Here is a 15,528-nt window from a genome sequence, read left to right as displayed (position 1 = left end):
TTGAATGTGAACTGCAGGAGAGCAAGAAAAAAAGTAAAACTTTAAAAAATACAACTTCAAAAAAATGTGTTGGGGCTGGGCACCATGGCTCATGCCTGCAGTCCCAGCACTTTTGGAGGCCAAGGCGGATGGATCACTTGCCCCGGAGTTGGAGACCAGCCTGGGCAACATGGCAAAGCCTTGTCTCTATTTTTTTTAAATACTAATAATAAAACAGTTTGTTGGACAAGGGATTGTAACCTGGAATACATGTGCTATGTCATACCATAGGTGCTGCATTGGGGGAGGTGGGCAAGGAGAAGCTTTTTAGGCAAAAAAAGGGGAAGTTCACTGTCAGAGGCAAAATTATGTCATATGTATTCATAGGTCTCGCTGGCTTTTATTCGTGATTCATGAATTGAGGCAGCCTTCATTCTACAAAATAGAATAAAAGCCCCTGCCTGAATTAGCCAGGTGTGGTGGCGGGCACCTGTAGTCCCAGCTACGCAGGAGGCTGAGGCAGGAGAATGGCGTGGACCCGGGAGGTGGAGCTTGCAGTGAGCTGAGATGCGCCACTGCACTCCAGCTTGGGCGACAGAGCGCGACCATCTCAAAAAAAAAAAAAAAAAAAAAAAAAGCCCCTGCCTGGGCGATAGCAGAACCATGGGTTTTGTAAGGTGAGGAGAACGAGGAAACAAGATAGAAAAATAACAGATTGATAACCTTAGCTTACTTCAGGTTACTCTTTTGTAAGGGTTAGAGAGAAGAAGGGACTTCCTTATTATGCCAACTGAGGAAAAACTAATCTGTTTTGGGATTTAGTTTCTTATGTAGTATTTAACATAAGTGATTTAATTTTGGTTTGGCCTGGTCTATTGGGACCTAGTGCAAGAGCTCGGTCCAAAACAATGGCCTCCCATGATTTTTTAAAAACAATTTTTACCCATTTTGATCAGGCTCTCACCTAGCTTGACCAAAACTTAAAAGTGCCTCTCTCAGTTACTATCAGTTTGGGTTTCTGGTCTCAACATGTCATTGATAGGTTACAGTGTCTTCATGATCATGCTTTTCTTTTCTTTCTTTCTTTTTTTTTTTGAGACGGAGTCTCGCCCTGTCGCCCAGTGCAATAGCACAATCTCAGCTCACTGCGACCTCCACCTCCTGGGTTCAAACAATTCTCCTGCCTCAGCCTCCTGAGTAGCTGGGATTACAGGTGCCCACCACCATGCCCAGCTAATTTTTGTATTTTTAGTAGAGATGGAGTTTCACCATATTGGCCAGGCTGGTCTCAAACTTCTGACCACATGATCCGCCCGCCTTGGCCTCCCAAAGTGCTGGGATTGCAGGCGTGAGCCACCATGCCTGGCCATGATCATGCATTTCTTTGAGTTTGTGTCATTCCAGCTGAAGAGGGACCATTTGATGTTCAATGGATGGTCACATGCAAACATTTAAAACATTTGAAAGGATACAACACACCAGGGAGACTACTATTGTGACTGTCAGGAGGATAATACCAAGGGTTTGGAGTATGTTCCTTAGCCAGAGTCCCTGTGAACCCAACCAACGAAAACTGAATAGATCAAACAATAAGCCAGATGGGGAGTCTACCCATTTTAACCAAGTAGCCTGTTTGTTAATTTTTTGCAGCTGAGTCTACAATACCTGATGTATTTACCCATGTGCAACAAGATGTGTCAGAAACCACACAGACCCCTTCCTGTTCAGCTAGTAGGTAATCTATGTAAAATTAAGGCAGGGAGTGAGAAGAAGTGGGTCTGGTTTGCTTTGATGCCAAACAGTTGCATCAGGGATGTTGCCAAACTTACCCACTAAGTAAACTAAAGGATCTGTTGGGTCATAAAGATGAGAGTCTGGCCTGACAGACCCGATATATTTATCAGGTAACCCACAGAAGCTACTGGTGTGAAATTCTAACTACAGCATTAGCCTGCCAAGTGAAAGAGATAGGCATGAGCAAGGAAAAATTGAGAGGGGCAAGAGGCTAGTCTTCTTTGGATATCTGGGGAAAAGCTTCACAATGTAAAATGGTCAACTTCTGGTCCTGATTTGTAATATGACTGTCTCTGATTATGACAACAGATGGTTTGGTGAACTCTGTATGGTCCACACGTTGGCATGAGACTTGTCCCTTGATGCTTACATCAAGTTGTCCAGCTTAGTAGCTTTGTTCTTAAGGTGGAGAGTTGTCAACATATGTTGGAGGAAACAAGAAGAATTCAGGGTCCAGTCCATTCTGCAGGTAGATAATAAAAACTCTAGAACAACAAACAAGGCTACAATCTAAGAACAAGTGTACTATAATGTTCTTTCTTCTGAAACATACATTTTCTCTTTACAGTTGCCCCTCATTTCTACCAGAGATAATCAGAGTAAGACTAATTTGTTTGCAAAATGTTTAGCCTCATCAAACTTGCCCTGCTTATTTAGGTAAGTTCAGTGAGAATAGCATCAACCACATAGGCTCTTTTAAGTTTGCTTGGGTGGAACTTTAGATCAGGAATCTCAAAATGAACTTTTAAAAATCTTTCGATGCTAGGAAGCCAGTGTAGATAGAATGCGTCTGTAAGTACTGCAGGCAAAGTCTGTATCTACAGTCTCAATTTCGATATCCCAGTCATAATATAACCAATATTTCCAATTGTGTCCTGTTATAAAGAGGGCAGATTCTCCTCCTCCTTCTTCCTCTTCTTTCTTCCTCTTCTTCTGTCAGGGCCTCACTCTGTTGCCCAGGCTGGAGCACAGTGGTGCAATAATAGCTCCCTACAGCCTCAACCTTCTAGCCTCAAGTGATCTTCCCTCCATCTCAGCCTCCCAAAGTGCTGGGATTAATCCCTCACTTTTGGGAGGCTGAGATGCCCAGCCAAGAGCAGATTCTATTGAGCATATACAAATAATTATTTTGTCATAAAAATAAGAATCCTCATGAGTAGTTTCTAAATTCTGGAAGGATCAGGTAGGGAGAAAAAAGCAATGTCTCCATTTTTGTTCACAAAGGTATGTTACCAAATTGCCTTAAGCTATAGATAGCCTAAAAGAAAAGGTTTCCCTAAATCTGAAAAACGAAAGAACCAGCAATATTTTTGAATTCTAAAAAGACATAGAAACCCATAATTCATCAGTCCATTTAGTCTTGTGTGATTAATTTTTGTCCTGCTTGATGTTGGGTTAGCAATTTGGTGAGTCTAGCTTTTCCCTTAGAGTTCTAGAAATTCTTACCCAGCCCAGTGGTATGATCTTAAAATGATCAGAAATCTGTACTTGTCAGAGTCTTTTCCATCTGTGGTGTCCTGATATAGAGATGTTGTCCACAGTTCCTAGCTCATAGTTCCCAGAACCATTGTTACAAAGCATGTTGGGTGCTTTGGGTCTCAGGAGACAGAATATTTCTGACCTTCTCTTTCACTTGCCCAAGGCAGGACTCTAATCTGATTGTGGATCAAAAGACCCTCATTCCAGAAAGGGTCCTTCGCCATACTCTGGAGGAAGGACGTGGACAGGTCCTGCTAGGTTTAGATCAGACTTTATTTTTATCCAATCGTGTTTGACACAGTTGTCCATGCTTCTATCATGGACAACCAATAAAGTATAGAAGGCCCACAGGACAGGATTTGGGGGGCATCCAGAGAGCTGAACATGTGGAGGCTGAGAGAAAGGTGAAGAAGAACTCATCCACAGGCTGGGAGGGTGTTGCACCCCAACTCCATGAGGACAGAAGCTCCTGCGCTTAGGACCCTTCCAGACTTCGCCCTATGCGTCTCTTCATCTGGCTGTTGATTTGTATCCTTAAAAATACCCTTCTTAATAAACCAGCAAACATAAGTATTATCTTCACCCAACTGCCGCCGCACTGCCATCATGGACACCAGCCACATGCAGCCTATCAAGCTGGTCAGGGTCACCAAGCTTCTGGGCAGAATGGGCTCTAAAGGACAGTGGTCGCAGGTGTGCATGGAATTTATGGAGGATGCGAGCCGCTCCATCATCCACAATGTAAAAGGCCCCGTGTGCGAGGGCGATGTGCTCACCCTGTTGCAGTCAGAGTCAGAGGTCGGGAGGTTGCGCTGAGCTTGGCTGCTGGCTGGGTCTTGGATGTTGGGTTCGACCACTTGACCAGTGGGAATGGTGTGCTGCGTTCTCCTTTATTTTATTCTTGGCCTGCCACGCAGGAATTGAGATGTGTCTTTAAATAAAGCATTTGTGTTTCAAGTTAAAAAAAAATTGGCTGGGCACGGTGGCTCAAGCCTGTAATCCCAGAACTTTGGGAGGCCAAGGCAGGCAGATCACCTCAGGTCAGGCGTTCAAGACCAGCCTGGCCAACATGGCAAAACCTCGTCTCTACTAAAAATACAAAAGCTAGCTGGGCATGGTGGCGGGCGCCTGTGATCCCAGCTACTCAGGAGGCTGAAGCAGGAGAAATGCTTGAACCCGGGAGGCGGAGGTTGCAGTGAGCTGAGATCATGCCACTGTACTCCAGCCCGGGCAATGGAGCAAGACTGTCTCAAAACAAAAACAAAAACAAAAAACAAAACAAAACAAGAAAACACGTTTCCCTGAGTTCCGTGAGCCACTCTAGCAAATTAATAAAACCCAAAGAGAGGGTTGTGGCACCCCCAACTTGAAGCCAGTTGGTCAGACGTTCCCAAGACCTGGACTTGCAACTGGTGTCTGGGAGTGTCAGGGGCAGTCTTGGGGACTGAGCCCCGAGCCTGTGGAATCTGACACTGTCTCCAGGTAGATAGTGTTAGAATTGAGTTGGAGGACACCTCGCTGGTGTCCACTGCCTGGTGTGTGGGGAAAAACCCTACACCTTTCGTCACAGAAGTCTTCTGTGTTGATTGTCATGGCAGTGTGAGAACAAAGGAAAAAACCCAATTTGAGAGAATTTTTCCCAAAGCACCAAGGTTTCCATGCATCTCCTTGAAGACACAACCACTTTAGGATTATAGTTGCTTGCAAAACACTTTTAGAAAAGCATGAGTATAAACTAATTAACTGTGAACAACCACACTTTAAATGGCCATGGGTAAAGATCTGGTGAGAGTGCCTAATAATAATGTCTCAGTTGACAAGGAAATTTAATTATTTCTGTGGCATACAATGATTTAACAAAATAACCAAAATCATGGCTAACATACCAGAGTTTTACGAATTTTATACAATTTATGAAACACATATTAATAACATGTCCACACAAAAATAATTCAAAGATGGCTTAGCATCAGTTATTTGACAATGCTTCCCATATAGTTTTGTTTTGTTTTGAGACAGAGTCTGGCTCTGACACCCAGTGCCACCCAATCTGTACTCTGGGTGACAGAGTACAGTGGTGCGATCTTGGCTCACTGCAACCTCCACCTCCCGTGCTCAAGCGATCCTCCCACCTCAGTAGCTGGGACCACAGGTGCGTGCCACAATGCCTGGCTAATTTTTTGTTTTTTGGTAGAGATGGGGTTTCACCATGTTGCCTAGGCTGGTCTTGAACTCCTGAGCTCAAGAGATCCATCCACTGTGGCCTCTCAAAGTGCTGGAATTACAGGTGCAAGCCACTGTGCCTGACCCCCATATAATTTAACATGCCAAATGAAAATAATTGGTTTGATATATCTCTTTTGGATGTTCCAGAGGCCTTCTGGAATATCCCAAAATTAGCTTGACTCAAAACTTAATTTAGAATTGGATTTTGGGAAATTTGTCAAAATATAAAAAGGTTTAAAACACTTGATTAAAATAGGATCTCAGGTCACTGTGGAATAACAATCATTGATTTAACCAGAGTAATAATTAAAATACTTCAAAAGGCAAATATACATTACAGAGTTGTCAACAAAAACTTAGGTATTTTAACATTGTGAAGACTCACTTAAATAATCAAAGACCCAGGCTGGGCATGGTGGTGCACACCTATAATCTCAGCAGTTTGGGAGGCTGAGGCAGGTGGATTGCTTGAGTTCACGAGTTTGAGACCAGCCTGGGCAACATGGTGAAACCTTGTCTTGACAAAAAATACAAAAATTAGCCGGGCCTGGTGGTGTGCACCTGTAGTCCCAGCTACTTGAGAGGCTGAGGTGGGAGGATGGCATGAGCCCAGGTGGCAGAGGTTGCAGTGAGCCAAGATGGTGCCACTGCACTCCAGCCTGGGCAATAGAGCCAGACGTTGTCTCAAAAATAAATAACTAAATAAAAATAAAAAATAAAGACCTAATAAAAGCCAAAGCACAAAAAATTATCTTGATGAAACACAAAATCTTTTTTTCCTACACCAATTGAAAGGAAAAAGAATCCTTCACATTCTCAGACCAATACTCCAAGAAAACTTTGTCATCTTAACAAAGAGCAAATACTACTTTTGCACCAGTGTACTATTAATGCTAAAGCTAATTTTAATAAAACCATTCAAATAAATCCATTCAGTTTCAGTCAGGTTTGATAACACAAAATTTCCACAAACCATTTATAACCCCTTTGTTAAACAAAAATGTGTTATTCATATCTTTGCTTATCAAACACATCTTTTTTTCCTTGCAGACAGAGTTGTTTTCTTTCTAGTAGTTTAATCCCATATGTTATTACAACTTTTAACTGTTAGAATCTTAATTTCTAGAACACTAGCAAGCATTGTGGTGAACTTATATCAGCATTCACCATTTCATAATTTCTGGAAACAATATTTCATGTTACTAGACCTAAATGCACTTAGCTTTTCTATACCATATAAAAACACGATGCCAAAGTGTTTAAACTTATGCTTAGTAACTAATGTTTCAGTATGCTAACTTACTTAAGACATATTTATACCCATGTGAAGAAAGTGTCTGGATAAAGTCCATCTGCCAAACCCTGAGTGGCCCATTAGGCAGGTCAGAATGGCCAAGGGCTGTTCACACTGGCTTTCCAGCATTGATTTCAAAGCAGGTCTGGCAGGTCAGGTAAGCCCTTTTTAGCAAGTCCATTGACGTGGCCCCACCAGTACTATTCATAAAGGTGATCCTCTTTTCCATAGCCCCATGGCTCAATTCATGCATAATACTTAACAGAAATTTCATGGAGAAAAGTACAGGTAAAAGTAAAAGGACAGGCCTTTTACTTGGTCCACACCAGAGTTCCTCTCTATCACTGAACCATCAGCCTGTATTTTTCCCGTTGTGGTTTTTTTGGCCTCTGGTGCTGGATAATGTTCATCTTTAGTCATGGTTCTAAGATCATCCTTTGAAAATCTTTCCAGCTGGAAAATTACACCTTATGTCTTCATAAGAGGAAGAGAGACCACCCCCCTCACCATATGATGTCCCGAGCCACCTCCCTTAGGACTCTGCAGGGAGTCCCCACCAGCAAGAAGGCCCTCACCAGATATGCCCCCTTGACTTTGGACTTCCTAGCCTCCAGAACTGTGAGAAATCCGTAGGACTCTTAAGGGCAGCATTCTTAGCAACATTCTCAGCAAGGTAGTATCCTCTAGCCTCCACGGAGTCTAGTTTCAAATGGCCTGGAACCTTTATCATGGCCACAGCAGCAGGTATTTGTATTGCATATAATAAATCATAAGGTTCATTATTGAAAGTGAGGAAACCTGTTTCCACAACATTCCAAAATCATGAGCAACTCCAAATACTTACCTGCTATCTGTGTAATGGTTAGCAGATTTCCCCTTAGCGAGAAAGCAGGCTCCAGTGAGGGCAAATAGCTCCACCTGCTGGGCTCAAGTGGCTGAAGGTCAAGAGGCTGCTTTCCCAACCTCAAAGCAAGTGGGCGTAGCATGACCTGCAGGATATTCACCGCGATCATCCTGCAGGTATGAGCTATCTGTGAACCGGGATAGTTTCACATAGTCCAGGGGAGTTTTCTGTAAATCCTTTCGGGAAATCAAAAGATGATCCACTGGCCGGGCGCGTTGGCTCACGCCTGTAATTCCAGCACTTCGGGAGGCTGAGGCGGGCGAATCACGAGGTCAGGAGATCGAGACCATCCTGGCTAACACGGTGAAACCCAGTCTCTACTAAAAATACAAAAAAGTTAGCCGGGCGTGGTGGTGGGCGCCTGTGATCCCAGCTGCTTGGAAGGCTGAGGCAGGAGAATGGCGTGAACCTGGGAGGCGGAGCTTTCAGTGAGCCGAGATCGGGCCACTGCACTCCAGCCTGGGCGACAGAGCGAGACTCCGTCTCAAAAAAAAAAAAAAAAAAAAAAAAAAAAAGATGATCCACTAAAATCAGACAGTGGCATCTCATCCCAGAGTAGAGAGGAAGGAGAGTGGTGGGATTAAGTTTATTACAGCAAGAGAAAGTAATATGGGGAGTGGTTAACAGAAGGGTCTCATAAAAGGTGAGGTGGCTAGAAGAAAATGTGGCACAAAAATGGTCCAAGGAGATCCCCTGACGACTTCTTTGGTGGATTTGACCCACAGGGTGGTGGCAGGGATAGCCCTCAGACAAGGAGATCTGCAAGCTCCCAGGTCCCACTGTTCACTGTAGTATCATATGGGAATATGCTGATTTTCATGCTTTTAAAAAATTTTCAATTTAAATTTTCTTCAGAGACAGGGTCTCACTCTGTCACTCAGGCTGGAGTGCAGTGGCGTGATCATAGCTCACTGCAGCCTTCAACTCCTGGGTTCAAGTCATCCTCCCACCACAGCCTCCCAAGTACATGGGACTACAGGTGTGCTACTATGCCTGGCTAATATTTAATTTTTTTGTGGGGGGGGGGGTCTCGTTATGTTGCTAAGCCTAGTCCCAGACTCCTGTCTTAAGTGATCCTCCCACCTCAGCCCCCCAGCCATGGCCAGCTGCGTGCTTCTCAGTTAAAACTGCCAGGGTGCTTCCTTCTTTTTCATGTACAGAAAGGAAAAATTGGGGGTTGTGTCGCTTCTCGGCCTTTTGGCTAAGATCAAGTGAAGAAGAGGAGTTGCCTTAGTCTCCTGTTGATGTGACTGAATACCTGAGACTGGGCAATTTATAAAGAAAAAGAATTTATTTCTCACAGTTCTGGAGGCTAGGAAGTCCAAAGTCAAGGGGGCATATCTGGTGAGGGCCTTCTTGCTGGTGGGGACTCCCTGCAGAGTCCTAAGGGAGGTGGCTCGGGACATCATATGGTGAGGGGGGTGGTCTCTCTTCCTCTTATGAAGACAGCAGTCTCACTCCCAGGATAGCTCAGTAATCCATTAACCCATCAATCCCCAAATCCATGGATAGATTAACCCATTCACAAGAGCAGAACCCTTATGATCTAATCACCTCCTAAAGGCGATACTTCTCAATACTGCTGTATTGAGGATTAAGTTTCAACATGAGTTTTGAAGGGGACAAACATTCAAACCATAGCAGTTGCTAATTAGGGTGTCCCAAGGCTGGGGAATTTAATAAAATTCCCTGTTTAGCTTGTCAAAAGCCACATCTTCTGTGTCTTCCCAAACAATGGGGTCTGGTTTACTGGTTTTAGCAGAGGCACTGAGCCAGAAGAGAAGACCTGGGGATCCAGCAAACCCAAGAAATCCACAAAGCTGGTGCTCAGTTCTAGATTTATACGGAATTATAGGGATTATAGGGAATTATAAAATGTCTTGTATGCAGCCTGGGTCTGAGTGTGGTCCACTTCCTGAAATTAGGTGGCCTAAATACTTTTCCTGGGTTTTTACCAGTTGTAATTTTTCCTTAGAAACTTAATGGACTTTACCAGCTAGGAGTTTTAACAAGGGTACACTGTCTTCCTCACATGCTGCCTGTGAGGGAGAACAGTGGAGGTCATCCACATATTGCAGTAGAGTGGACCCATGAGGAAAGTGACATCCTTCAGGTTGGCCTTTAGAATTTGGAAAGTAAGGGCCAGGTGTGGTGGCTCACGCCTGTAATCCCAGCACTTTGGGAGGCCAAGGCGGGCTAATCACAAGGTCAGGAGATCGAGACCATCCTGGCTAACATGGTGAAACCCAGTCTGTATTAAAAATACAAAAAATTAGCCGGGCATAGTGGCGGGCGCCTGTAGTCCCAGCTACTCGGGAGGCTGAGGCAGGAGAATGGCATGAACCCGGGTGGCGGAGCTTGCAGTGAGCCGAGATTGCGCCACTGCACTCCAGCCTGGGCAACAGAGCCAGACTCCATCTCAAAAAAAAAAAAAAAAGGTTTTGGAAAGTAAGAAGGGCTCTCAGTGAAACATTGGGCATGACCGTCCAGGTACACTGTTGGCCTTCCCAAGTGAAAGCAAAAGGCCTTGACTGGCCTGGCTGACCAGATGTTAAAGAAGGCACTGCACAGATCAATTGCAGTGAAGAACTACCATCAGTTGGAATTGAGGTCAGCAAATTATGGGGGTTTGATACAACTGAGTGGTGAGGTGCAACCATATTGTTTATTGCACAAAGGTCTCGAACAAATCTCTACTCAGAACCATTAAGTTTCTTTACTGGCACAATTGGAGTGTTAAAGAACTTTGGTACACGACATTACAAGACCTTGTGCCTTATAATCTGCAGTGATGGATTTTATGACCAATAGATCTTCCTTGTTTGAGGTATTTAAAGAGTCAGGAAGTTGCAGGATTGAGTCAGTTTGACCTAGTTTGTCAAATCCCAAAATTATTTTCCCCTTTTGGGAGAAAGAAAGTCCTGCATGATGTTTGTTTGCAGGCCAGGCACTCTGGCTCATGCCTGTAATCCCAGCACTTTGGGAGGCCAAGACAGGCAGATCACTTGAGGCTAGGAGTTCAAGACCAGCCTGGCCAACATGGCAAAAACCCATCTCTCTTAATATAAAAAAGATTTTTTAAAAAAAGTGTTGGCCAAGAATGTGGACCGGGGCTGAATTACTAAGAACAAAAGAGATCCTGTAAGAGACTGAGGCAGAAAAGGATAGATAGGACTACAAAGACATCTTGAGGTTTGTTATAGACTCAAAACTATTTGTATTTACTCCAAAGCAGAGGCTGGTTGAGGTTAGTGGAGTTGAGCCCTGGAAATGTGGCTCCAGTAACTATAAGGACAGTTAGGACCTCATTCTTGATCTTAAGAGTTATTTCCCTAACATGGTTGTGGGGAAGGATGAGAAGAATCCCTACAATTCGCTGGAGTCCCATTACTGGGAGTTGATATGGTTTTAATGTCCTGCCCCAATTTCATGTTGAATTGTAATCCCCAGGCTGGGGGCAGTGTCTCATACCTGTAAACCCAAGACTCTGGAAGGCTGAGGCAGGTTGATTGCCTGGACTCAGGAGTTCGAGACCAGCCTGGGCAACAAGGCAAAACCCTGTCTCTACCAAAAATACAAAAAAATTAGCCAGGCATGGTGATGCGCGCCTATGGTCCCAGCTACTCAGGAGGCTGAGGTGGAAAGATTGCTTGAGCATGGGAGGCAGAGGTTGCAGTGAGCTGAGATTTTGCCACCGCATTCCAAACTGAGTAACAGAGTGAGGCCCTATCTAGAAAGAAAGAAAGAAAGAAAGAAAGAAAGAAAGAAAGAAAGGAAGGAAGGAAGGAAAGAATTGCAATCTCTATGTAGTATTGGAGGTGGGGCCTGGTGGGAGGTAATTGGATCACAGGGGTGGATTGCTCATGAATGGTTTAGCACCATCCTCTTGGTGCAGGTGCAGTCCTCATGATAGCGAGTGAGTTCTCGAGAGATCTGGTTGTTTAAAAGTGTGTGGCACCTCCCCCATTCTCTCTTGCTCCTGCTTCACCTTTTGCCATGATTGGAAGCTTCCTGAGTCCTCTCCAGAAGCAGATGCTGCATGTTTCTTGCACAGCCTGCAGAACTGTGAGCCAATTAATTCTTTTTTTTCTTACAAATTACCCAGTCTTGGGTATTTATAGCAATTCAAGAATGGCTTAATAAAGGAATATACACCTTGAGGGTTTTGAGGGAGGGGTCATTTAACTCTCTTTAACTTATAGCAACCTCTCTTCCAGTGTCCAGTTTTTTATAATAATGGTAGGGGCCAGGAGGATTTTGTTTGGGGGCTTCTGTTTGTTGCAGCTGGTGGTTGAGGATTTTGATAATTTTCTTTTTATTGGTATCCTCATGGGGCTGATTGGCCAACCTTACTAAATGTGGAGTGGACATGCCTCCGCATTCCATGTGGATTATTTTAACAAGCTGGGAAAGCTCTCAAGTTAGGCCATTCACAAACATAGAATTAAAGGCTACTTGGGTAGAATAAACATTTACAGAAGTCTAGAATTGTCCTTAAAGATGATGCGGAGTCAACTGTAACACTGTAATAATTCTGAACTTGTTCATTTGGTTTTGGGTACAAGTTGAATCTTGTTCCAGTCTATGGCTTTAAGGAAAACTTAAGAATAGCTCTGTGGGTCTTTAGATTGTGAGCTTGTTCCCAGTATTGGGGCGTTTGTCTAGTTCAGGTGGGGTCCAGTTAGCTTTAGCCATCCAATGTTGGGCTTGGCCTTCATCAACAAGTGTATGAAGCAGCTGTTATAGACTGGGAAAGCCAGACTGATAGGCCTGGATTACCATGTTGAATTCATCAGCAAATGAGTTACAGTCTTCAGTAACTTTTAGGAATTCCTTGGCAATGGCTCCGAGTTCAGCCTTAGTCCAAGCCTTGGTCAAAGGAACATAGGAGACTTGGGATTTAGCTGGGTCATCAGTGCTCATAGGAAGGGCTGTAGGAAGTCGGGGAGGAGGTTCCAGGGAGGAGAGAGTCTGGTCCTCTAAGGTTTTTTTTTTTTTTTTTTTTTTTTTTTTTTTTTTTGCCTCTTTTAATTGTTTACTTGTCTCAACTGGCTTTGAGACAGTGTTTTGTATAGAGGTAATTTTTGAGTCCTGAATGTGATTTGAAGCCTCAAGATGCCAATTGTAATATGTCTCCCATTAAGACTGACCCTATAGCCATGGTCTCCTAATTTAGTTCTCAGAAAAGTAAGCTTCAGAAGTTTGATCTGCAAATGGCCATTGGAGCTCCAAATTATCCTTAGTGTAATTTGCCCATTGGTTTAAAAGGGTGCACAAGGGTGATCCTGAATGTCTGGACATGGAGCTGGCTGGGGTCCTGAAGGAGGGTTGCCCTGCATGCTTTAGAATTTGGGAATCCCATTCTCTTTCTTAATCTCTCAAAAGCAAAAAGAAAATCCTATTGGTCCTTTGAGGAAACTAACTCTTGAACAAAGTGTTCTGCTTTCACAAGTATGCCTTTCACAGGATACTTGTTTTGCTTGGTGGATGGCCTTTGCCCTAAGTTGTCTGACCTGTGACCACGGAGCCCTTGTTACACAGAAATTTTCTTGAAACTGGTATGCCCCCAGTGGTAATATTGCCTGTATCTGACCAGTTTGTCCTTTCAAAGGAGTCTTTGACTTTGGAGACTCGAATCTGTTATAAAATGGTGGTGAGAACCCCAGTGGCTCTTAAGTGTTCAACCGTGTACAACAATGTTGTGTTATTTTGCTCTCAAACGATGTTTAGAAACAATGAAAACAAGAGGAAAAGGTCTAATTTGCATGCAAGCAGCCAAAAATGAAACCAAAAGAATACTCACCATGTGCAGGCTAAAGCACCTCCATCTTGGATGCTAGTCTTCCATGCTCACTTCTGATTAACCCCAGTTCTAGGACGTGTAGGAGTGTGGACTCACCGCACATCCTGCTATATGTCAAAACAATCTCTTCACATTATCATAAACATGATCATAAATCCTGCCTTTTGGAAAATTCTTGTCTTTCCCTGCGGGGTTGACTTCAATTGCCCTACATATTCCTTCCTTATGAAGGCCTGGGTCTGGGGGGTAACAGAGCAGGGATCCACTGTCTGCAGGCTGCCTGAGTCATGGCTTTTGTACATAAGTCTCTATCAAATTTTTTTTTCTGAGATTTCAGATTTTTCAGCCTCTTTCTTCAGCCTCTCAGCTCCCCCGGCCTTTTGCATGTAGGCTGTTCCAGTGCAGAACACACAAGAAAGGACGCAGTGTCAATAGAAACAAATCCTGAATAAAGTCAGAGAGTTCAACCAAAAGGGAGTTTGAATACAAGATAGAACTAAACCACACAGAATAAAGATTACTCATGGAAGCTGAGAGTGCAATGGACTCAGGTGGGTACTGCATATGGTTCCAGAGGTTGCCGATCTGGGAAAAGCTCCTCCTTTCTGTGTCAACCTGAAATTGTTAGCAGTGGTGAATCTGTATGGGTCTGCACCAACCTGAATTCTTGACACACCAAGGCAAATTTTAGAGCAGGAATGAAAGTTTATTATTAAAAAGTTCTAGAGCAGGAACGAAAGGAAGTAAAGTACACTCGAAAGAGGACCATGAGGGCAACTTGAGAGATTCAAGTGCACGATTTGACCTTTGACTTGGGGTCTTATACATTGGCATGTTTCTGAGATCTTGCATCTCTTCTCCCCTGATTCTTCCCTTAGGGTGGGCGGTCTACATGCTCAGTGGCCTGCCAGCACTTGGGAGGGGCCACATGCACAGTGTGTTTACTGGAGTTGTATGCATGCTCATCTGAGGCATTCTTCCCTTACCAGTTGAGTGTTCCTAGAGGAAGGTCATACACCAGTTAAACTCTGCCATTTTGCCTCTTAGTGCTCATGCTTGACCCCACTCACCCAACTCCTAAGATCTTATTTGGAAGCTGCTGATTAACAGCTTCAGGTGTTATCTATCTATTAGGACACAGCTTTCCCTGGCACCAGCTGCAATCAATTATTTTAAAGCAACAGTTTAGCAACTGCCTGATTATCACCTGGTGATTGTCTGACATTCCTGGTTTGGGGGAGGGCCTCTCCTGCCCTGCTCATGTCTGCCTAACTACCTACAGTATCAAAATGAGCAAGAGAGACCAGTTCTCAAAACAAAGAGTTTACTTGCTAATAGCCAAGGAATTGCAATCTGGGATGCATGTGCTTTTGTGGACCATAAGCATATTTGAGGGGTTGGGGCAAGAGGAAGCTTTTGAAGGCAAAAAAGAGTAAGTGCATGTAAGATATTTTGAAACATAAATTACTGTTCACAGGGGCTTATTGCAGGCAGTGTTTGTTCATTGGTGGTGCTGGCTGTTGCTAGCAGAGGTGTAACTGAACTCAGGTCTGGGCCACTTGTAGCTTGAAAGGCAAAAACTCAAGAGACAAGCTTTGGTGAAAGGAAAGTTAGCTTTATTCAAGAAGCCAGCAACCCAGGGAAGGCAGTGAACTAGGGTTCAAAGATCACCTTTCTGAGTCATGCTTCTAAATCAGGGGTTTTTAAGGGAAATTAGGGAGAATAATGAAAACATTCTTGTGAAACGTGGGCATTCTCAGGTGGGCATTTAATCCTTGCCTTCTTGGTCAATGCTTTGTGGCCTTCTGTGGGTATGGTCAGGCCGGCCAATTCATTCCCAGAGCTGTTGGTTGGCACATTTTAAAAAATCTCTGTTGAAGGTCCTCTTTTTCTGAGGCTGTTTTTAGTGAATAATCTAAAGACTCAAGCAAAGCAATAATTGTATTCAAGCAAGCAAGCTTTCCTCTAACATGGAGTCAGTACTGTTACAGAGGCTCTTCATAGAAGAGCCCCTTCTTCCATGGAAGTGACTTAACTGAAAGTTCTGAT

The 15,528-nt window shown here is 43.8% G+C and overlaps 1 pseudogene; it reads left to right on the top strand.

Moving 5' to 3' along the window:
• Positions 2,058 to 4,069, top strand: RPS28P3 (ribosomal protein S28 pseudogene 3; annotated as a pseudogene).

Source organism: Homo sapiens, chromosome 1 (assembly GCF_000001405.40).
Source record: "Homo sapiens chromosome 1, GRCh38.p14 Primary Assembly".
NCBI classification, from domain to species: Eukaryota; Metazoa; Chordata; class Mammalia; order Primates; family Hominidae; genus Homo; species Homo sapiens.
The sequence above is the reverse complement of the archived record's forward strand: the minus strand, read 5'-3'. Positions and strand labels throughout refer to the sequence as shown.